General features: G+C 40.3%; 1 protein-coding gene across 5 annotated transcripts in view; it reads right to left on the bottom strand.

The window, feature by feature from the left end:
* The window catches only part of TTC27 (tetratricopeptide repeat domain 27), a 193,002-nt gene that overhangs the window by 106,189 nt on the left and 62,772 nt on the right, over positions 1-24,041 (bottom strand). For all 5 annotated transcript variants that reach the window (NM_017735.5, XM_011532958.3, XM_005264416.3 and 2 more), the window contains exon 10: positions 11,943-12,056. In NM_017735.5, coding sequence (NP_060205.3) covers positions 11,943-12,056 — 114 coding nt within the window. The remainder of the gene's footprint in view (positions 1-11,942; positions 12,057-24,041) is intronic.

The raw sequence follows: 24,041 nt of genomic DNA, 5'->3' as shown, positions 1-24,041 counted from the left end.
CATATGAAAAAAATGCTTAACATCACTAATCACTGGAGAAATATAAATCAAAACTACAATGAGATACCATCTCACAATAGTCAGAATGGGTATTAAAAAGTCACAAAATAACATGCTAAAGAGGTTGTGGAAAAAAGGGAACACTTACATACCGTTGATGGGAATGTAAATTAGTTCAGCCATTGTGGAAAGCAGCTTGGCAATTTCTCAAAGAACTTAAAACAGAACTACCATCAGACTCAGCAATCTCATTACTGTTTATATACCCAAAGGATTATAAATCAGTCTACCATAAAGACACATGTGTGTGTATGTTCATTACAGCACTATTCACAATAGCAAAGGCATGGACTCAACCTAAATTCCCATCAACAGTAGACTAAATAAAGAAAATGGGGTAGGCCTGGCCAGGTGCAGTGGCTCACGCCTGTAATCCCAGCACTTTGGGAGGCCGAGGTAAGCAGATCACAAGGTCAGGAGATCGAGACCATCCTGGCTAACATGGTGAAACCCTGCCTCTACTAAAAATACAAAAAATTAGCCAGGCATGGTGGCAGGCTCCTGTAGTGCCAGATACTCGGGAGACTGAGGCAGGAGAATGGTGTGAACCCGGGAGGTGGAGCTTTCAGTGAGCCGAGATGGTACCACTGCACTCCAGCCTGGGCGACAGAGCGAGACTCCATCTCAAAAAAAAAAAAAGGCGGGGGGGCGGGGGTGCGCTGCATATACACCATGGAATACTACGCAACCCTAAAAAAGAACAAGATTATGTTCTTTGCAGCAACAAAGATGGAGCCAGAGGCCATTAACTTAAGCAAACTAATGCAAGGACAGAAAACCAAATAGTGCATACTCTCACTTATAATTGGGAGCTAAATGTTGGATACACATGGATACAAAGAAGGGAACAACAGACATTGAGGCCTACTTGAGGGTGGAGAGCGGAAGGAGCTAAGAATTGAAAAATTACTTATCAGGTACTATGCTTATTACCTGAGTGACGAAATAATCTGTACACCAAAACCCTGAGACACACAATTTACCTACTTAACAACTTGCACATGTACCCCTGAGCCTAAGTTAAAAGTCAAAAAAAAGAACAAATATTCTAGGAAAAAAGTCATTTAAAAATTGTGAAATCTGACTTAATTAACACAGTTAAGAAAGTCAAATTGCAGTATAAACAGACTTCAGGGACAGAAAACTGCAATAATCTCAAATTTCCAATTCAATGCAATGTCCTCCTGGAAATCCAAGGAAGAAGAAAAATATTCCTGTTGGACAAATATCTTCAGAGGCACAACGGCTTGGACAGGGACAGAACTTCACGACTTAAATTAACAGGTGTAAGAGGTAACCAAGTAATTAAAATTCATTATCAAGATTATTTCAGTAATAAACATAAAACAATCTAACATTGATCTCCAAAGACTGAACTAAGTTTATCTAACACCATGTGAAAGGAGTTTGATATGAAAGAAGACAATGACAAATTTGGTTTGCACAATTTTTTTTTCAAAAATGTTTTGTTTTGGACATAAATAAGGTGGTCCCTTTGAATATATGTAGTTTCCATTAATTTGCTTCACATTTGGATTATAAAATGTTTTAGCCCCTTTGTGTTGCTGTAATAGAATATTAGGATTGGGTCACCTATAACGAGCAGAGATTTTATTTCTTATAGTTCTGGAGACGGGGAAGTCTAAGATGGAAGGGCCAGCATCTGGAAAAGACCTCTTGCTGCATCATCCCATGGCAGAGGCACAAGAGGGAGAGTGAGAGCAAGAGAGAGAGAGGGAAGGAAGCCAAACTCATTCTTTTATCAGGAACCTAACCCCTGAAATACTGGCATTAATCCATTAATGACCTAATCACCTCTTAAAGGTGCCATCTCTCAATACTTTTGCATTGGGGATTAAGTTTCCACCACATCAACTTTGGGAGATGCACATAAACCACAGCATATAAAAGAAAAGGATGTGATCTTCTGATAAAATGTTGAATATAAGAATTTAAGGCTGGGTGCAGTGTCTCATGCCTGTAATCCCAACACTGTGGGAGGCGAAGGAAGGTGAATAGCTTAAGCCCAGGAGTTCAAGACCAGCCCGGGTAATGTGGTGAAACCTTGTCTCTATAAAAAATACAAAAATTGACAGACGTGGTGACGCACACCTGTAGTTGGGAGGCTAAGGCAGGAGAAACAGGTGAGCCCAGGAGGTGGAGATCGCAGTCCCGAGATCATGCCATTGCACTCCAGCCTGGGTGACAAAGTGAGACTCTGCCTCATTTAAAAAAAGAAAAAAAAGAAAAAAAAAGAATTTAGATCAGATGCGGAAGGAAAGGCAGAATGACGATAGAGAACACTATTTTATACTCCACTGGTAGAAAAGCAGGGTGTAAATGATTACTGAAGAATATAATCTTATTTTATTTCAAGCAGCTTCTGAATCATAGCCATTAAAATAGTTTCCATAAACATTATTTTCTTCATTGTCACTAACATCACCACTGCCTTGAACATGCAATAAAAAATTGCAGCCTGAAATAATTTCAGAAGACAGGGTGTTTTTAATAGATTGTCCTCGACTTGGAGTTTCTTCTTCTTCTGTGGATCTTATAATCATGATTTATTTACCTTTAGTTGTGATTAAACATTTTCTTTTCAAGTTTGGCACGTCTCACTTAGAGATCTCTTCCAAATCTGCCATTCCTTAGGACTTGCCGTTGAAGCCTTCAGTGTAACTGCCGGCAACCATGTAAGTCTGTGTAGTCCAGACTGTCACTAACTAGCCAGACAAACTGGGGCAAGGTTACCTGACTTCATCACACCTGCATTTCCTCAACACATAATAGAACAAGATTAAACTTTTTCCTAAGGGGGTCCTTTCTAGCTTATTTTCCTTAAGTCTTTTTTTTTTCTTTTTGAGACAGAGTCTCACTCTGTCACCAGGCTGGAGTGCAGTGGCACAATCTCGGCTCACTGCAAACTCCACATCATGGGTTCAAGCAATTCTCCTGCCTCAGCTTCCTGAGTAGCTGGGATTACAGGTGCCTGCCACCACGCCCAGTTAATTTTTGTATTTTTAGTAGAGACAAGGTTTCACCATTTTGGCCAGGCTAGTCTTGAACTCCTGACCTCAGGTGATCCACACACCTCAGCCTCCCAAAGTGCTGGGATTACAGGCATGAGCCACCGCCCCCAGCCTTTTCCTCAAGTTTTAAGTTTACCATTTTATCACTTTACACTGCTGTGGAAGGGAACAGATTTTCATAGAAACTAAAACAATTAAAAAAACACAACACTGTCTTAATATATACATGTAATTTTAAAATCATTTTCCTCTTATTCCTCAGGGATGCAGTAACTTCAACAAACAAAGTAATATCAAGTTCTGAATCAGGGGAATTGGCAGAAGTTCAGATTATGAGCTAAATGCCTCAACATTGACAGAAACTTAGACAAATTGTGCATTCATCCTGTCACATGATCTGACTAATTTCCAAGATTTCTGCGTTGGGGAAGTAAAGAGAATTTTCTACAGTACTACCCTGCGGAGGCAGAAGTAACTGTCTAATTCTGTTCTACAGGTAGTGGACTACGCAACTCTCTTGATAATGCAGCATTTGAATGGCAAAATGAACGAACCCCAAATATAGTAAGGCCAATGCAAAGGTAAAATGCCAGAGCACAGTGATTTGGCTCTTCTCTTCTTCTTCTTCTTCTTTTTTTTTTTTTTTTTTTTTTTGAGACAGAGTCTTGGTCTGTCACCCAGGCTGGAGTGCAGTGGCACAATCTCAGCTCACTGCAACCTCTGCCTCCTGGGTTCAAGCCATTCTTCTGCCTCAGCCTCTCGAGTAGCAGAGATTACAGGCACCCACCACCATGCCTAGCTAATTGTTTTGTATTTTTAGTAGAGATGGGGGTCTCACCATGTTGGCCAGGCTGGTTTCGAACTCCCAACCTCAAGTGATCCAAATGCCTTGGCCTCCCAAAGTGCTAGGATTACAGATGTGAGCAACTGCTCCCAGCCTTCTTTTAAATCTATGTTTCCCACTCAAAACACATTCTTGTTATTTGATATCTAAAAACATAATCTTCACAAATGCAGGTTTAGAACTGAAAAGGTATATACAGGCTGGGCGTGGTGGCTCACGTCTGTAATCCCAGCACTTTGGGAGGCTGAGGCAGGCAGATCACTTGAGGTCAGGAGTTCAACACCAGCCTGGCCAACATGGTGACACCCGTCTCTACTAAAAATACCAAAATTAGCCAGGTGTGGTGGCATATGCCTGTAATCCAAGCTACTCAGGAGGCTGAGGTAGGAGAATTGGTTGAACCTGGGAGGGCAGAGGTTGCAGCAAGCTGAGATCACGCCACTGCACTCTAGCCTGGGTAACAGAGCAAGACTCCATCTCAGAAAAAAAAAAAAAAAAAGCTATATACTTATAAACACCTAAAAGATTCACTTTTTTAGTTTAATTTGCTGCTATAAAAGAAAAATGAATGCTGACCTAGTTATTTTATTTGCCAAAGTTACTGAAAGAGATGGCTAAAAGGCAAATTATTTCTAGGTCAGTATGTCCTTCATCAATAAGTGATGTAGTCTAGCACTATTTCTATTAAGAAGGCCAAAACTAGCCTGACCAACATGGCGAAACCCCAACCCTACTAAAAATACAAAAAATTAAGTCGGTGGTGCATGCCTATAGTCCCAGCTACTCGGGAGGCTGAGATGGGAGAATCACTTGAACTCAAGACACAGAGGTTTCAGTGAGCCGAGATCATGCCACCGCACTCCAGAGTGGGTGAGAGAGCGAGACCTCCTATCTCAAATACAAACAAACAAAAAAAGAAGGCTGAAGCTTTAACAACAACAGACACTTAAACTTTTTCCATAATGTAAAAAAAGTATTATGTGTATTTCCTTAAATAAACTATATTTTAGCCATTTCAACATTTTACAGTTTTAGTGTAAACTGAATTTTTAATAAACTTTAAAACAATGGTATAATCCACCATAATTGAAGATGCTAATCAACTACATCTTCACCTTCCCTCTTTGCTCTACACGGTGGGGCCCAGCTGTGGGAGTGGGGACAACAGACTGCCTCGGACTATCAGCTTTTTCAGCATCACCTCAGCTACAGAGCACCTAGCCTGAGGTCATGCCCCTGAGGCCGCCCATATCCAGTGATAGGGAAGAGAAGGCAGAGGACAGGTCCAGCCATTTCAGCCCAAGGAGACAGCCAAGTGGGGAATACTGTAGGCTCTACTGAGCCAACACCTCGGATTGACATTTTCTTCTGCTTCTTTCTATTTCTTTTCAACAGGTGTTGTACCCTAGTAACATGAATTTTGTGTTTAGATTTGGGTCCCATCCCCAAAATATCTCATTACGTATATGCAAATATTTCAAAGTCTGAAAACAATCCAAAATCCAAAACATTTCTGGTCCCAAGCATTTCAGATAAGGGAGACTGAACCTGTATCAACAGTTTTATCACCAGTGATATTAACCATAATCACAAGGTTATGGTAGTGTTTGCTAGTTTTTTCCACTGTAAAACTGACATCTTTCCCTTTCCATACTCTGTATTTTGGAAGTGAGTCATTAAGTCCAGCTCACAGTTAAGGGGTATTAATCTCTACCTCTTGGAGGGGCATATATTTACATAAATTATTTAGAATTCTACTGTAAGGAAGATTTGTCCCCTCTCCTCCATTTATCCAAAATTTATCATTCATCAATGTTTATCATTCATTTATAACAATATGGACTCATGTATATTTATCTTATACTTTGAGTTACAATCAAATACAGTTGACTCTTGAACAATGTGGGGTTTGGGATGCCAACCCCCCTATGCAGTCACAAATCAGCATATGACTTTTGACTCCCTAAAAACTTAACTAATAGTCTACTCTTGACTGGAAGCATTACTGATAACATAAATAGCCAATTAACACATATTTTGTATGTTATATGTATTATATACCCAACAGGGGTATCCAAGGGAGCAGATAGAGTCATGGGTTCTTAGTTTCTATTTCTGGTTAAGCCAGGAGAAAGCCCCTTCCTCATCCCCCTTTTCCACTTATCATTAGAGACAGAAACTAAAAAAACATGGTTTCAGGCTGCTAAAAGCCTAAAACAACAAAACACAACAACAACAACAACAACAAAGTAAGGTGGGTTGGACAAGCTTAATATACTGCATTCTTACAATAAAGTAAGCTAGAAAAATAAAAAAAGAGGCCGGGCGCAGTGGCTCACACCTGTAATCCCAGCACTTTGGGAGGCTGAGGCAGGTGGATCATGAGGTCAGGAGTTCAAGACCAGCCTGACCAATATGGTAAATGTGTCTCTACTAAAAATACAAAAATTAGCTGGTTGTGGTGGCACACGCCTGTAGTCCCAGCTACTCAGAAGGTTGAGGCAAGAGAATCGCTTGAACCCAGGAGGCGGAGAATGTAGTGAGCCAAGATTGTGCCACTGTACTCCAGCCTGGGCAACAGAATGAGACTCCATCTCATTAAAAAAAAAAAAAAAAAAAAAACAAGGTAGAGAAAAGAAAACGCTATTAAGAAAAAAAAGAGAAAATATATTTACTATTCATTAACTGGAAGTAGATCACCATAAAGGTCTTCCTCCTTAATGTCTTAACATCGAGTAGGCTGAGGAGGAGAAGCAAAAGGAGGAATTGGTCTTGCTGTCTCATGGATGGCAGAGGCAAAAGAAAACCCATATATAAGCGAACCTGTATAGTTCAAAGCAGTGTTGTTCAAGGGTCAACTGTACTATTTAATTTGCTGCTCAAATTGTTCTAGCTTTGACCACTGGGTTCTCTTTAGATTAGCTACTGTGTCCTTTTGACATACCTCATTTCTTTTTTTTTTTGTTGTTAAGTACTACCTTACTTCCTGGCACTACAAGATGTTCCAGGCTCATCATTTTCCCTGCCCCAGCTGCCCCAATCCTAAAACCAGCCATCTATCCAAGGAGCTCTGCTACCCTTTGTTGAAGAATGATACTTAAAAAATAAAATCTGGCACTAGATGTGCTTGTTGCTACTGAGCTGTAAATGCTTCTAGGCCCTCTCAGTGGACAGAGCTATGGAATATATAAAACCTAAGGAATAATATTTGTATTTCTAAGAAACATCAATAGAGCGACCTAAACTTAGTGAGGTGGCCATCAGAAATATTTTTAGTTCTAGAAATTAATAAAATATACTTCATTAGTTTTTTTTTAAACTTTGGAATAAGGGAATATTAATTAGGATATAGACTAAACTGCTATAACAAAAAGATCAAAAAGTAGACTTGAGCAAGACAGAATTCTGTTTCTCGTTCATTTACAAATTCAACAGTGCTATAGTTTGAATGTGTCCTCTAAAAGCTCATGTGTTGGCAACTTGGTGCCCGATGCAACAGTGGTGGGAGGTGGGGGCTCTACCCTCATGAATGGATTAATGCTGTTACCATGGGAGTGGGTTAATTACCATGGAAGTGGCTTTGTTATAAAAGGGAGCTCTCTCTCTTACATATACTTCCTTTTGCCTTCTACCCTTCTGCCAGGGGATGACCCTCATCACATCCTGACACCATGCTCTTGGGCTTCCCAAGTCCCCAGAACTGTAAGAAACAAATTTCTTTTCTTTATAAATTACCCAGTCTGTGGTACCCTGTTATCACAGCAGAAAATAGACTAAAACAATGAATGGCTCAGAACTGCTAAAAGGGCTCAGCCACCTTCAAAACATTTCTGGTCTAAGCTGGCAGCCCAGTTCTCCTGATTTCCCAGCCAATGGGAAGGGACAAAGTGCCAGGACAGCACACATTCCCTTTTAAGGGTATGACCCAGAAGTGGTACATATCACTTCATCCACATCCTACTGTTCACAACTTAGTCACCTGGCCTCTCCAACCTGCAAAAGAGGACAGGAAGTCATGTGCCTGGATAAAATTCAGGAGGTTCTATTACTAAAATAAAGAAGGGGGCCAGGCGCAGTGGCTCACGCCTGTAATCCAACACTTTGAGAGGTCGAGGCAGGTGGATCACCTGAGGTCAGGAGTTCAAGACCAGCCTGGCCAACATGGTGAAACCCTGTCTCTACTAAAAATACAAAATTAGCTGGGCATGGTGGTGCGTGCCTGTAATTCCAGCTACTCAGGAGGCTGAGGCATGAGAATCGCTTGAACCTGGGAGGCAGAGGTTGCAGTGAGCCAAGATTGCACCACTGCACTCCAGCCTGGGCGACAAGAGTAACACTCTGTCTCAAAAACAAAAAGGCGAGGGAGCAGGGAGAATGGATATTGAGGTTCTAAAATTAGCATTCTCTGACAGAGAAAACCCACTTCTGTTTTTATCATAACATTCTGTCTGTGGATTTATTTTTAATACAGCAACAAATAATATGATTAATACTTATTCAAATGGGCTAAAATTTTGTCACAATAATAAATTAAGAATAAGATAGGCCAGGCGCAGTGACTCATGCCTGTAATCTCAACATTTTGGGAGGCTGAGGTGGGCAGATAACTTGAGGTCAGGAGTTCGAGACCAGCCTGGCCAACACGGTGAAACCCCGTCTCTACTAAAAATACAAAAATTAGCAAGGCATGGTGGCACATGCCTGTAATCCCAGCTACTCAGGAGGCTGAGGCAGGAGAATCGTTTGAACCCAGGGAGCAGAGGTTGCAGTGAGCCGAGATCATGTCATAGCACTCCAGTCTGGGTGACAAAGCAAGACTGTCTCAAAAAAAAAAAAAAAAAAAAAAAAAGAGTAAGGTAAATAAGGAATGATAATGTAAGATTACACCCCATAAAATAAAACAGGAATCCATAAGTCCATAATCAAGTAAATAAATACATGGAAAAATAAATGAGAAGAGAAAGCTCTTCCTTACAGTAGAATACCAATTTAAAAAATTATTAAATAATCATGGAATTAGAAAATTACCACTTGGCAATACATAATGCTAACTTATGCAGAGAAGATACATCAATAAATAGTAGGTGGCTCCCGCCTATAATCCAAGCACTTTGGGAGGCCAAGGCAGGAGGATTGCTGGAGGTCAGGAGTTCTAGACCAGCCTGGACAACATAGTGAGACCTCGTATGACAAATTAAAAAACTATCCAGGCACAGTTGCATGCACCTGTAGCCCTAACTAGTGGTAAGGCTGAGGGCTGAGACAGGAGGAATACTGGAGCACAGGAGGCAAAGGCTGCAGAGAGCAATGATCACACCACTGCACTCCAACCAAGGCAACAGAGCAAGACCCTGTCTCTAAGAAGAAATAAATGAATAAATACATACATTTTTTTAAAATGCTAAAACCTCCTCGTTAGTATAGTGGCAAGTAAAAAATAAATAAATAAAAATGTAAAAAGAAAAGAATAAATGCTAAAACCTATGGGTGAAAGTTAGATGACAAACCAGATGGTCTCAAAGTAACTCCCTGTGTTAATCTGTTTTGTGTTGCTGTAAAGGAATACCTGAGGCTTGGTAATTTATAAAGAAAAGATGTTTATTTGGCTCATGGTTCTGCAGGCTGTACAAGCATGTACCTCAGCTACTGATGAAGCCTCAGGAAGCTTATAGTCATGGCAGAAGGGAAGGGAAGCAAGTGGATCACATGGCAAGAAAGGAAACAAAAGAGAAGCCAGGCTCTCTCAGACAAGCTCTCACATGAACTAACAGAGGGACAAGTCACTTATTACTGTGGGGAGGGCACTAGGATATTCATGAGGGGTCTGCTCCCTCCCGTGACCCCAACACCCCCCACCAGGCCCCATCTCCAACAATGGGAATCACATTTCAACAAGAGATACGGAGGGAACAAATACTCAAACCATATCACTTCCTGAAAATGTTTATTAATTACAATGGGAAAAGAGTAGAGTAACTTTACTTGGGGAGAAATCTCACAAACACAAGCTTACTGAATGATCAAATAACATCCCCAGTGACAGGATAAGTGAACATCATGTGCCACCTGAGGGAAGAAGAGTACTACATCATTTCTACAATATGACAGCCAAAATTCTATGACCTGAATCAAATCATGAGGAAACATCAGACAAACTCAAACTGAAGGGCAGTCTCCAAAATAACTAGCCCATAATCTTCAAAAGCATCAAACCCATCAAGGTCAAAAAAGGACTAGGAATTGTTCTGGAATAAAGGAGCCTGAGAGGACATGACAGTGAAATGCCAGGCTTGGATCCCTGTGCTACAAAGGATGTTATGAGGACAAGTTGATAAAGCCTAAACGAGATCTCACGGTGAAGGCTATATGGGAATTCTTCGTACTGTTCTTATGACTTTTACATAGGTTTGAAATTTTTATAAAATAAAAATAAATTTTTGGCCGGGCACAGCAGCTCATGCCTGTAATCCTAGCACTTTGGGAGGCAGAGGCGGGCAGATCACTGGAGGCCAGGAGTTCAAGAGCAGCCTAACCAACATGGTGAAACCTCCATCTCTACTAAAAATACAAAAATTAGCCGGGCATGGTGGTGTATGCCTGTAATCCCAGCTACTCAGAAGGCTGAGGCATAAGAATTGCTTGAACCCCAGAGGTAGAGGTTGCAGCGAGCCCAGATTGTGCCACTGCACTCCAACCTGGGCAACAGAGTAAGACCCTGTGTCAAAAAAAAGTAAAAAAAAAAATCACTTTCATTAATTACTATAGTCCGAATGTGTCCTCCAAAATATATATGTTGAAACTTAATGGCCAATATGAAAGTATTAGGCAGTAGGATGTTTAGGAAATTATTAAGTCCTGAGGGCAGAGCCCTCATAAGCAGGACTTTGGCCCTTATAAAATGGTGTAAAAGGATGGGTTCACTCTCTTCCACTCTTCTGTCGTATGAGAACACCTAGACAGTGCCATCCATGAACAATGAGGCTTTACCAGACACCGAATCTGCCAGCACCTTGATCTTAGACTTTCCAGCCTTTACAACTATGAGAACATGAATTTCAGTACTTTATAAATTACCTAGTCTCAGGTATATTGTTGTAGCAGCACAAACAGACTAAGACATTGACGTTACGAAATCCTACATCTATTGTAAGATTTTCCATTTTTCTTGGTAATAAATTTGCATCATGGATAGTTTAAGAGAAAATGTGTAAAAGAGACTAAATGCTATTGACTCACTGGATAGGAATAAACATTAGCATTAAATGAAGAACGGTACCTGAATATGGATTAATCTTACATGTGGTTAGTTCATTAGTGAATATTTTTTGCATCAGGATGAATTTTACTTCTTTATACAACCCATACCTATGGGGCTGCATATCTTTATTTATTAATTCTTCTATTGTCTCTTTTAATGCTCACCATAAACCTGTAAGTGCCATTATTATTATTATTATTTGAGATGGAGTCTTGCTCTTGTCGCCCAGACTGGAGTGCAATGGCACGATCTCGGCTCACTGCGACCTTTGCCTCCAGGGTTCAAGCGATTCTCCTGCCTCAGCCTCCCGAGTGGCTGGGATTACAGGCACCCACCACCACGCCTGGCTAATTTTTGTATTTTCAGTAGAGACGGGGTTTCACCATGTTGGCCAGGCTGGTCTCAAACTCCTCACCTCATGATCCACCTGCCTTGGCCTCCCAAAGTGGTGGGATCACAGGCGTGAGCCACCGCGCCCAGCCTAAGTGCTGTTATTATTATTAACCTCTTTTACAGATGATGAAAATGAGGTTTGGAGAGGTTAAATACCGAGTTCACAGAGCTGCTAAGTCACAGAGCTGGGCTTTGGAACCAAGAAGTTAAATTATAGAACTTATTCTCTAAACAGTAACAAATTATTTGAGTGAAATGTAAGCCATTTCATTCCTTCATTCATAGCAAACATGTATGCTTACTGATAGCAATAGAGAGTTGGAAGAAGCACACAAATTGCCACATTAATTCTTACCTGTGTCTGCCTCATTGCCCGTTCCACTCGGCGAGTACTTCCTTTCTCAAGTTTTGTCCGGAGGATCAAGGCTGATGTCTGAATGGCCCAGAACTTTGGTTGTGAAAGCAAACACTGATAGAAGCGGGAAGAAAAAAATCATAGAAAAGAGATAAGCTAGGTGATCTCATTCTGAATAGGACAAAATTAATTCTTCCAAAATATCAGGGTACAGTTAAACACAGATTTGAAAATCTTCCCAGTTAACAAAAAGTTCTCTTTTTCTCAATTTGTATTACAGAAATCATTCTAAAACATATGAGAATGCTTTCTGGCATTTGTTAGGGTAGGGAGTTTCCAATTTTAATGAAAATGCATTCCTAGAAGGGGCATCTTAACAAAGACTGGCCTATATCAAAACTGAATATGCACACACTGAAACCTAACCCCAGAGAAAGCTGTGACCACCATTACCCAGAGAACATAGTAGAAATCATCCAATATGATCACAAGTGTAGTGGGAAGCAAAATGAAAGTACTGGATAAGTGAAAACAGGGACAAAATGTACTATGATAAACACTGACTCCTTAGTATAATGAGCACAATGTAAACTCTCTTTGATGACAACTTGGAATCTGATATTGTCTCGGTGATCATTTACAACAATTACTTTCAGTAAAGATTACCACAAATAAAGGAGAAAGACCTGTTTATTTATCTGAAAGTTGATGCCACCCTTGGTCCTTCTCTTGTTTCAAAAAGTCAGGTTTGGAAAACATCTTAGAGTACAATTAATCACTGAAAATCTAGCTACTCATTAGAAGTACCTGGGAAGCTTGGTATTCTAAAAGTATATCAGATCTCTGAGAGCAGGATGTGGGTGTCAGTTTTGGTAGCTGGTTTTTTTTGTTTTTGTTTTTTTTTTTTTTTGAGACAGGATCTCACTCTGTCACTGAGGCTGGAGTGCAGTGGCATGATCATGGCAAGCTACAGCTTCGGCTTCCTGAGCTCATGCAATCCTCCCACCTCAGCTACCCGAGTAGCTTGGACGGCAGGCCTGTACCACCATGCCCGGCTAATTTATTTTATTTTATTTTTTGTAGAGACAGGATCTCGCTATGTTGCCCAGGCTGGCATCAGTGTTTTTTAAAATACCCCCCAGGTAATTCTCAAGCGTAGCCAACTTTAAGAACTATTAGGCTAAGATAAAGTAAGTATTTGTCTTTTATCAAACTCATTCATAACTCCAAACTCTCATTAAAGGTTAGCAAGAAGTCCTTCAGCCTATGACTCCTTACAGTTCATTTCACTCATTTTTATTACCTGCCTGACTCCTATAGGCACTTGAATTTTTAACCTCTAATCTAGACCAACTAACTCTAATATAGACCAACCCCCTTACAATAAGAGGAAAATGAAGCACCAACAGGTTAAATTACCTGCTCAATCTCACACCTCTATTAATAGCAAAAGCTGGTACTAACACTTAGTATCCTAAGTCCCAGAACACCTTTATATTATTTTATAACATTTTCTCTAAATAAACTTGTGCTCATTTAAATAGCTAAATTAAGATATGACTACTTCCTGGACATGGATGATACTACCAAAGAAACATTAGAAAGTAGAGTAATGTAAAAAGAGGACTTGGAGATGGTGAAGGAAGAGGAGTACATCAAGAATACATGAATAAGAGAGAAGAATCAAAAGAACAGAACCTTAGTGAAATTTGTTCATTAACTCACTTGAGCACCTACTCCCTACATGGCAGTGTATACTGGGCCCTAAGGACAGAATAGCAAACAAAACAGACAGGATCCCTGCCCCCATAAAATATATATTCTAATCTTATTCTTCTATAATTAACTTTGCAAATTAAAATATTTTCATCCCCTTGAAATAGTTTACAAGATTTAATGCATAACCTTATCTCGTTGGCCTCCATTAACTTAAATCTACAAAAAGAATGAATTTACCAACATAATAGGTGCATATGGACCTATAAAAATATGAAAGAGAAGACATTAAAAAAACTAATTCTTTAAAATGTACAACACTACTTGTCAGATTTTATTATAAAATGTGATCTCAAGACTTTTCAGGCAGGGCGTGATGGCTCACGCCTGTAATCCCAGCACTTTGGGAGGCTGACGCGGGTGGATCACCTAAGGTCAGGAGTTCGAGACCAACCTGGCCAACGTGATGAAACCCAGTCTTTAATAAAAATACAAAAAAATTAGCCGGGCATGATGGCGAGTGCCTGTGATACCAGCTACTCAGGAGGCTGAGGCAGAAGAATCGCTTGAACCTGGGAGGTGGAGGTTGCAGTGAGCCGAGATTGCACCACTGCACTTCGATCTAGGCAACAAGCGCAAAACTATGTCAAAAAAAAAATTTTTTTTTCAAAGGAAAAGACTTTTCTCATTAGGTAAATCTGCAAAACTGATTCCACTACCCATAACGGGTCACATCACTGCCTTCATTTTCTTTTCATCTTATTAAAGGGATTATCATCTATAATCCCATGACAACAAAATGGAAGAGTACTGAGGAAAAGGCTCTGTAAAACAGTGGGAAAAGTCTGCAGAGTGAAAGATTGAGAGGCATCCCAGCCCCACCAAGTGACCTGGGGAAGTTACTTGACCTCCCTGGGTGTCTCACTTTCCTCCTCTCTAAAATTGGAGGAGCATTCCCATCTCTCACAGAGTTGGGAGCATTAAGTAAGTAAGAATAAGTAAAGCTTAATGGAGCCTATGAGAGTTCCCACTGAAAAGCACATCTGGCCCCTCCAGGAGCTCTCCTCCTCCAGCGTTTACACTCACCCTTAACAGAAAATCCCTCTCCGGAGTGGGCATGGGCAACGGTGCTCACCTTCCAACCACACTGATCATTCTGCTAGCAACAATGGTGCAGTGCACAGACCAGCTCAGCCCATGGGCTTGTCAGAGTTAAAACTCACCTTTAAAAAGGTTGTCCCAAACGCTTGCACAGCAAAGGGATGAAATATCTTCCTTAGATAACAAAGACACACTGTTTTCTACACTGGTATGAGAACAAGAGGCTTGCCTAAGATTTTTATTTGAAGGTCAACCAAAACATTCTCACTAAATACTGAAAATAAGATACAATCTGACAGACATTTGAAAAGCTTTAAAGAAGGAACTAACTGGATAATAGCATCACTGAAGAATGTGATGATGTCTATTTGGCTGGGAGATATAAAGACTTGAGAAAGTCTTTCTGAAAGGGAGCAATTGCACATAGGCTATATTCAATATATTTTATAAAACACTGCTGCCCATGATGAGGTAAGAATTGACCATAATATGGGACATTGGATAAGTAAGAAGAAAACTAAACAGGAAATATGTTGGTTTATGAAGCTCTATTGACTTATTAGAAAATGGCATTTTAAAAAAATTTCAGCAACCAAATGCAATGGAGAGAACACCAATCTAACCTACCTAAGCAGCAGGCCAACCCCAGCTGGTGAGAGCTCAAGCCATAATCTACATAAACACCTGGATAGAGTTAATTCAGAGTCTTCACCACGCCCCCCAGTAGGGGGTTACTGCTCTTAATTCCATTCCATTTAGAACTTGAGAAGTGATCACCCCAATGCCTACAAGGCTGGCTCTGTCTCATTTAGGTCTTGGCCTTAATGCCACTTTGTGAGGGAGCCTTCTCAACCACCTCATCTAAGTGACTCCATCTCTATCCAGTGATTCTTTATAACTGCATCTAGTTTGGTTCCTCCAGGGCAGAAGTCCCAGCTATTTGATTCCTAGTGCCTTACATACTGTTGGGTGCACTGCAAGAAAGGGATAAAAAGAGGGACAAAGAAAGAGACTTTTCTTCTGTCTTCTTTTACAAAGGGACAAGGGCATACAAAGGTGGTTCTTCGGAAACAGAAATGAAAACTAACAGTGACTGGTGCTCATGAAAATCCACCTAATAGATTCTTTTTTGGGGCATTCTCTAGATAGAATTGGGAACATATGCTCCCAAGGACATAATATTGTAAATAATAACTAGTTATCCTGACATAATACTTTTATTACTGTGACCTAGGCAATCTGGGGTTTATATAGGCTTTTGTAATGCAGCTCAGAAACTTAAACACTACTTAAAATATTTTTTCTTTAAGACAACACGTTCCTTGGCCGGGCGCAGTGGCTCACGCCTGTAATCCCAGCACTTTGGGAGGCCGAGGCGGGCGGATCATGAGGTCAGGAGATCGAGACCATCCTGGCTAACATGGTGAAACCCCATCTCTACTAAAAATACAAAAAAATTAGCCAGGCGTGGTGGGGGGCGCCTGTAGTCCCAGCTACTCAGGAGGCTGAGGCAGGAGAATGGCGTGAACCCGGGAGGCGGAGCTTGCAGTGAGCTGAGATCGCGCCACTGCACTCCAGGCTGCGTGACAGAGCGAGACTCCATCTCAAAAAAAAAAAAAAAGACAACATGTTCCAAATGCTAAAAAATAATAATAATAATAATAATAACTTTATGGCTGGGTGAGATGGCTTAACTGTAATCCCAGCACTTCGGGAGGCTGAAGTGGGAGAATCACTTGAGACCAGGAGTTTGAAATCAGTCTGGGCAGCATAGCAAGCCCCTGTCTCTACAAAAAAATTTATCAAATTTGCTGGGTGTGGTGGCATGTGCAGGTAGTTCCAACTACTCAGGAGGCTGAAGTGGAAGGATCACTTGAGTCTGGTCAAGGCTGCAGTGAGCCATGATCACACTACTGCACTCCAGTCTGGGCTGAACAGAGTGAGACCCTGTATCAAAAATAATAATCATAATATTCCATTTGCTTCATGGCAAGTAATAATATAATAAGGTACCAACATAATGTGCTACCATGCTTTGTAAAAATCTACAAATTAAGATTAATTATTACTGGCCAGGCACAGTGGCCACTTTTGGGGCTGAGGCAGGCAGATCACTTGAGGTCAGGAATTCAAGACCAGCCTGGCCAACACAGTGAAACCCCATCTCTATTAAAAATAACAAAAATTAACTGGGCGTGCTAGTGCACACCTACAATTCCAGCCACTCAGGAGGCTGAGGTATGAGAATCGTTTGAACCCAGGAGGGAGAGGTTGCAGTGTGCCAACATCATTCCACTGCACTCCAGCCTGAGTGACAGAGTGAAACTGTCTCCAAAAAAAAAAAAATTCTTTCTTTCCTAAACTAGCTTGAATTCCTCTACCGTCCCAGCCATTATCTATGTGCCCCTGAATAAGCAGGTTAAGCTCTGTGTGACTAAAGATGTCTTATCCATAAAGAGAAAAATGTAGACTAAAAGTTGACCAACCACCTCCAAAATTCTGCAGTAATGAAGGGAAAATAAGTTCATCTTTGTTGAATTTTGGTTATTTTCTATTTTAACATTAAGCTAAATGCAATTATTACAAACTTCACATTTACTGAAATATCTTATAAACACATTTCTTTACTGTTCAGTAAAAGTGTAAGAAAGAAGTACTTAAGAACAGCTAAACTGCTCAGATGCCAAAAATTGGTAAAGATAAAAGAAGATGTTGAAAACCCCAAATTGTGACTCATCAGATTTGGAATGGTGTCTTACATATTGAGAGGTTAAATAAGCACAGAGTTTCAGCCTTGATAATAAGAGGCAATGAGTAACTGAATACATGGACCTAAATATAAGCTGATATAATTTGCTATTACCATAGAATTCTAGCTACCCACTATTTCTTTTTGTTTGTTTTTTTTTTTTGAGACAGGGTCTCACTCTATTGCCCAAGCTAGAGTGCAGTGGTGCAGTCTCGGCTTACTGCAACCCTCACCTCCCAGGCTCAAGTGATTCTCCTGCCTCAGCCTCCTGGGTAACTGGGGCTACAGGCACTTGCCACCACACCTGGCTAATTATTTTAATTTTCTGTAGAGACAGGGTTTCACCCAGGCGGGTCTCGAACTCCTGGGCTCAAGCAATGAGCCCACCTTGGCCTCCCAAAGTGCTAGGATTACAGGTGTGAGCCACCACGCCCATCGGCTACTCACTAATTCTCTGAGTGGAAAACAAAATACATCAAGGAATAACAGGAACTGTAAAACTTTTAGTGACTGCTCTATATTCTGTAGAAGATACTTTATCCTATCTTTGTATGAAAAAAGTAAATCTAGGCATTAGAAAAAATTATCTCCAAATTAAATATAGTATTCCACATGATTTAGCAATTCCATTTCTGGGTCATGCCTGAAAGAATTGAAGTCAGATATTTGCATACCAATATTCATGGCAGCATTATACACATAGCCAAAAGGCAAAAACAACTCAAATGTTTGTGAAGGAATGGATCATAAAATGTGGTATAGGCTGGGCGTGGTGGCTCATGCCTGTAATCCTAGTACTTTCGGAGGCCGAGGCAGGTGGAACACTTAAGGTCAGTAGTTTGAAACCAGCCTGGGCAACATGGTAAAACCCAGTCTCTACTAAAAACACACAAAAAAATTAGCTGGGCGTGATGGTGGGCACCTGGAATCCCAGCTACCCGGGAGGCTGAGGTAGGAGAAGTGCTTGAACCCAGGAGGTGGAGGTTGCAGTGAGCCGAGATTGCACCACTGCACTCCAGTCTGGGCGACAGAGTGAGACTCTGTCTCAAAAAATAAAAAATAAATAAAATAAAATAAAATAAAATAAACAAAAATGTGGTATAGAAACAACAGAGTATCAATCCGCTTTAAAAAGGAATAGCATTCTGATATACACAACACAGATGAACTTTGAGGACACCATGCTGAGTGAAGTCAGTCACAAAAGAACAATTATTTTTTTTTTTTTTTTGAGGTAGAGTCTCGCTCTGTCACCCAGGCTGGAGTGCCAGTGGTGCAATCTTGGCTCACTGCAACCTCCACCTCCCAGGTTCAAGCAATGCTCCTGCCTCAGTCTCCCAAGTAGCTGGGATTACAGGTACATGCCACCACGACCGGCTAATTTTCGTATTTTTATTTGTTTATTTATTTTTACTTTCATAATATTTTATTTTATTTTATTTTATTTTTTGAGATGGAGTTTTACTCTTGTTGCCCAGGCTAGAGTGCGACGGCGCCATCTCGGTTCACTGCAACCTCCACCTCCTGGGTTCAAGGGTTCAAGCGATGGTCCTGCCTCAGCCTACAGAGTAGCTGGGACTACAGGCACCCGCCACCACACCCAGCTTTTTTTTTTTTTTTTTTTTTTTTTTTTTTTGAGATAGAGCCTTGCTCTGTCACCCAGGCTGGAGTGTGGTGGCGCGATCTCAGCTCACTGCAACCTCCGCCTCCAGGGTTTAAGTGATTCTTCTGTCTCAGCCTCCCGAGTAGCTGGGACTGCAGGCACGCACCACCACGCATGGCTACTTTTTGTATTTTTAGTAGAGATGGGGTTTCACCATATTGGCCAGGCTGGTCTTGAACTCCTGACCTCGTGATCTGCCCGCCTCGGTCTCCCAAAGCACTGAGATTACAGGCGTGAGCCACCGTGCCTGGCCTAATTTTTTATATTTTTAGTAGAGATGGCATTTCACCATGTTGGCCAGGCTGGTTTTGAACTCCTGACCTCAGGTGATCCACCCGCCTTGGCCTCCCAAAGTGTTGAGATTACAGGCATAAGTCACCACACCTGGCCTACAAAAGAAAAAATATTTTATGATTCCCCTTAAACAAGGTACCTAGAGTAGTCAAACTCATAGGGCTAGAAAGTAGAATGGTAGTTGCAAGGGCTAAAGGGAGGGGAGAAAGGGAGTTATTGTTTAATGGATACAGAGTTTGGAAAGCTGAAAAAGTTCTGCATATTGATAATACTGATGGTTGCACAACACTGTGAATGTACTTAATGCCACTGAACTGTACCCTTAAAAATGGTTAAGATGGTACATTTTGTGTTATGTATATAAAAAAATATGTATTTTACAAAACCACTACTGTCAAAATCCTTAAAAAGACAGAGCAGGCTGGCCGTAGTGGCTCACACCTGTAATCCCAGCACTTTGGGAGGCCAAGACAGGAGGATTGCTTGAGCCCAGGAGTTTGAGATCAGCCTAAGCAACACAGCAAGACCCTGTCTCTAGAAAAAATAAAAATAAAAAAAAAAACCTGGTGTGGCAGTGCACACCTCTGGTACCAGCTACGTGACAGGCTGAGGCAGGAAGATCGCTTGAGCCTGGGAGGTCCAGGCTGCAGTGAGCTGTGTTCATACCAGTGCACTTCAGCTTGGGCAACAGAGCAAAACCTTGTGGAAAAAAAAAAAAAAAAAGAAATAGGAATCTTACATTCAAATTTTGTGTTGCTAAAAACATAAACAGAACATATAAAGACAGAAATATAATTATGCCCAAAGTAATATTTCATTACTTTTTTAAAGTCACTAATAATTTCTTATTTTTTTTAATAGAGATGGATCTTACAATGTTACCCAGGTTGGTCTCAAACTGCTGGCCTCAAGTGATCCTCCTGTCTTGGCCTCCCAAAGTGCCGGGATTACAGGCATGAGCCACTAGGCCTGGCTACTAATAATATTTTGCATGAAGCATCCAGTATGCATATATACCACGCTCCCAAATTTCAGAATTTTTTTCCCAAAAGCTGGGTTATTTTAGCACATGAAAAGGCTCTGATATGTTTCTGTATAGTTAATTATAGTAAACACTTTAATTTCAATTATTTATTTCTCCCAAAGGACACATTTTTATGAAGATATAAAATACTACATGTTGTTAATTCTTATAATTCATATTTTTATTCCAATAATTCATACTCATTTCTTAGAAATGCTAAGAAAATTTCTGAACAGTTCACTCTAAAACTGGTCCTAAATAACAGAGATTACCAAAAGGCTGACGACTAGAGAGTTAGCCTCTTGTTCTGAGAAAAATGCAGTAACTACTCAACTGCAAAAGCCTCTACAACGGTGGTTCTAACCAGAATTTTATTTGTTCTCGATACAAGTTTGCTGTTTTTGCTGTTTTGTTGTTCATTTTATTTATTAGTTTTATTTAATAAACATTTATATAACACATTCTATGTGCTGTTCAGGCACTAGTCTAAGTGCTTTACAACAGTAATGGTATCTTTTCATAAAAAGAAGTGCTAACTATGGTCCAGCGTACCATTTTTTGTTTTGTTAGCGCTTTACTGTCCTGTGTGACTGTCCTAAGGTCTCAAAGATGTTCTCCTACATTCATCCTCTAAGAGCTTTATAGTTTTGCTTTTCACTTTTATATATTTGATCTATCTGGAATTATGTTTTATATACAGTATGATGTAGGGGTAAGATGCCCATTTTTCCTAGAGGTATATAAATTACCTAGTAATATTTATTGAAAAGTCTATCCTTTCTCACTGTTTTACAACTCCACCTTTGCCATAAATCACATGAACTGTATATGTATGGATCTGTTTCTAGACTACTGGTTGATTTATATTTCCTTGTGTCAAAATGTCTTAATTCTGTGTTTTTAAAGAGCATAAAAATAACTTCAAGAGCTTGTTAAAACACAGAGTTCTTGGCTCCAACCTCAAAGGTTCTGACTGAACAGGGTTTAGGGTGGAGCCGGAGAAATTCCATTTCTAACAAGCTCCCAGGTGACGCTGATGCTGCTGGTCCAGGGACCCCAATTTGATGAGCACTGTCTTAAAATAGGTCTTGCTATCTGACAACAGAAGTCCTCCCCTCCAGCTCTGTTCTTCAAGACTGCCTGAGCTATATCCTTAGTCCTCTGCATTTCCATATGAATTTCAAAGTCAGTTTTAGCTTCACGAAAAAACAACAGAAACAATAAAAACAACAAATTTAAAGTTCTGGGACTTTCTTAAGGATTGTATTAATTATGTAGGTTAATTTGGAAAGACTTGAAATTTTAAAACATGAAGTCACGAACAAGACGTATCACTCCGTTTATTTACATCTTCATTAATTTATCTTAATTATGTTTTATAGATTTTTTTTTTTTTTTGAGACAGAGTCTCACTCTGTTACCCAGGCTGGAGTACAGTAGTGCGATCTCAGCCCATTGCAACCTCCGCTTCCTGGGTTCACACGATTCTCCTGCCTCAGCCTCCCAAGTAGCTGGGATTACAGGCGTTCACCACGACGCCTGGCTAACTTTTTTTTGTATTTTTTGCAGAGACAAGATTTTACCATGTTGGCCAGGCTGGTCTTGAATTCCTGACCTCAAGTGATCTGCTCACCTTGGCCTCCCAAAGTGCTGGGATTACAGGTGTAAACCACCGTGCCCCACCAGATTTTTAGTATAGAGATCTCATAAATCTTTTGATAGGTTTATTCCTAGGAATTTGATGTTTCTTGACACTATTACAAATGCTTTTCTCTTTTTAATTTTTAAAAACTATGGTAAAATACATATAACATAAAATATACCATTTTAACAATTTTTAAACACACAGTTCAGTAATGTTAAGTACATTCACATTGTTGTACAACCAGTCTCCAGAACTACTTTCATCTTGCAGCTGAAACTCTATACCCATTAAACAACTCCCAATCCCCCTTCCCCCAGCCCCCGGCAACCCGTTCTGCTTTTTGGTTCTATGAATTTTGGCTACTCCAGGTACTTCATGTGGAATTACATAGTTGTAAATGCTGTCTTATTTTTAACCATGGATTCTATTAACTGTGGTAATTTGATGAAATATCAGCTCACTAAGTTATAAGTATTTGGTTAAAAATCAAAATGGGTTTGAAAAAGAGCCCTCAGAAAGTTGGTGGATTCAAAAATCCCCGCTTTCATGGCTGGGTGTGGTGGCTCACGCCTATAATCCCAGCACTTTGGGAGGCCGAGATGGGCAGAACACTTGAGCCCAGGAGTTCAAGACCAGCCTGAGCAATATGGGGAGACCTGTCTCTACAAAAAAAAAAAAAAAAAAAAAAAAAACCTAAAAAATTAAAAAAGAATATCCCCACATTCAGAATTAGCACACTGCTGAAAAACCTCATGCCATTTGCAACCATGTACTTATCCATGAGATGGAATTTCCACTTTTACACATCAAAACAAAGGCCAGAAACCACTTACAAATAACATTTGTGTGCCTGTCTTAAGAAAAGTTCTCTCATTTCTTACCTCTCATTGACCAAAATCTATAAAAGGTGACTCATTGAGCCAGTAAACTTTTACAAGTATGTAATCTTTCATGTACTTTTAATATTTTTATGACTGTTGTGAATGTGAAATAAACTCTAGTAATATTTATTTATAGTTATAATATTTTATAAATTAAAGAATCAATTCTCTTCAGCAATTGTTGATAAGGTGTATAAGAGGATATTTTGAGAACAAAAGAGAAGTATTCATCAAAGATTAAGAGATGCAGGCCAGGCGCGGTGGCTCATGCCTGTAATCCCCCCACTTTGGGAGGCTGAGGTGGACTGATCACCTGAGGTCAGGAGTTCAAGACCAGCCTGGGCAACATGATGAAACCCCGTCTCTACTAAAAATACAAAAATTAGCTGGGTGCAGTGGCGTGTGCCTGTAATCCCAGCTACTTGGAAGACTGAGGCAGGAGAATCACTTGAACCTGGGAGGTGGAGGTTGCAGTGAGCCGAGATTGCGCCATTGCACTCCAGCCTGGGCAGAGAAAGACTGTCTCAAAAAAAAAAAAAAAAGTAAATATTCATATGATGACAAGCTATATATGTACCTAAGAAGGACTTACTATTTTATTCAGCTAGCAATTTCCCACTGTATGGGCATTTCCCTCATGCCCCAGAAAAGTAGCAAAGAAAATTCTGTACCATCATCAAAGAGGATCTAGAGTGTCATTTCTATTAAAAACAAATTTCCTTCTCATTCTTGTCACTGCACGTTTCAAATAATCTTCTTCCAAAGGTCACTAGGATCCCTTTAAATGACACACAACCAGGCTACTCCTTTAAACACTGAAGGCGCTTTCAGATAGCTGCTTTTTCCATACATAAATCAAAGCCAGCTCAGAGCTCTCCTGTGCGTGATTGTTTGGCTACACTAAAGCCAAATCGAACGATGCCCACCCAGGTCACACTGATCTTCCAAAGCAAGGAACAAAGAAATACTACAAAAAGCAGAACTATCCCCGCTTTTTAATTATCTACTTAAAAGAGCATTCATTTT

Source organism: Homo sapiens, chromosome 2 (genome assembly GCF_000001405.40).
Source record: "Homo sapiens chromosome 2, GRCh38.p14 Primary Assembly".
In the NCBI taxonomy this organism is placed as follows: domain Eukaryota; kingdom Metazoa; phylum Chordata; class Mammalia; order Primates; family Hominidae; genus Homo; species Homo sapiens.
Note: the sequence above shows the minus strand (reverse complement) of the source record. Positions and strands in the feature narration are given on the sequence as shown.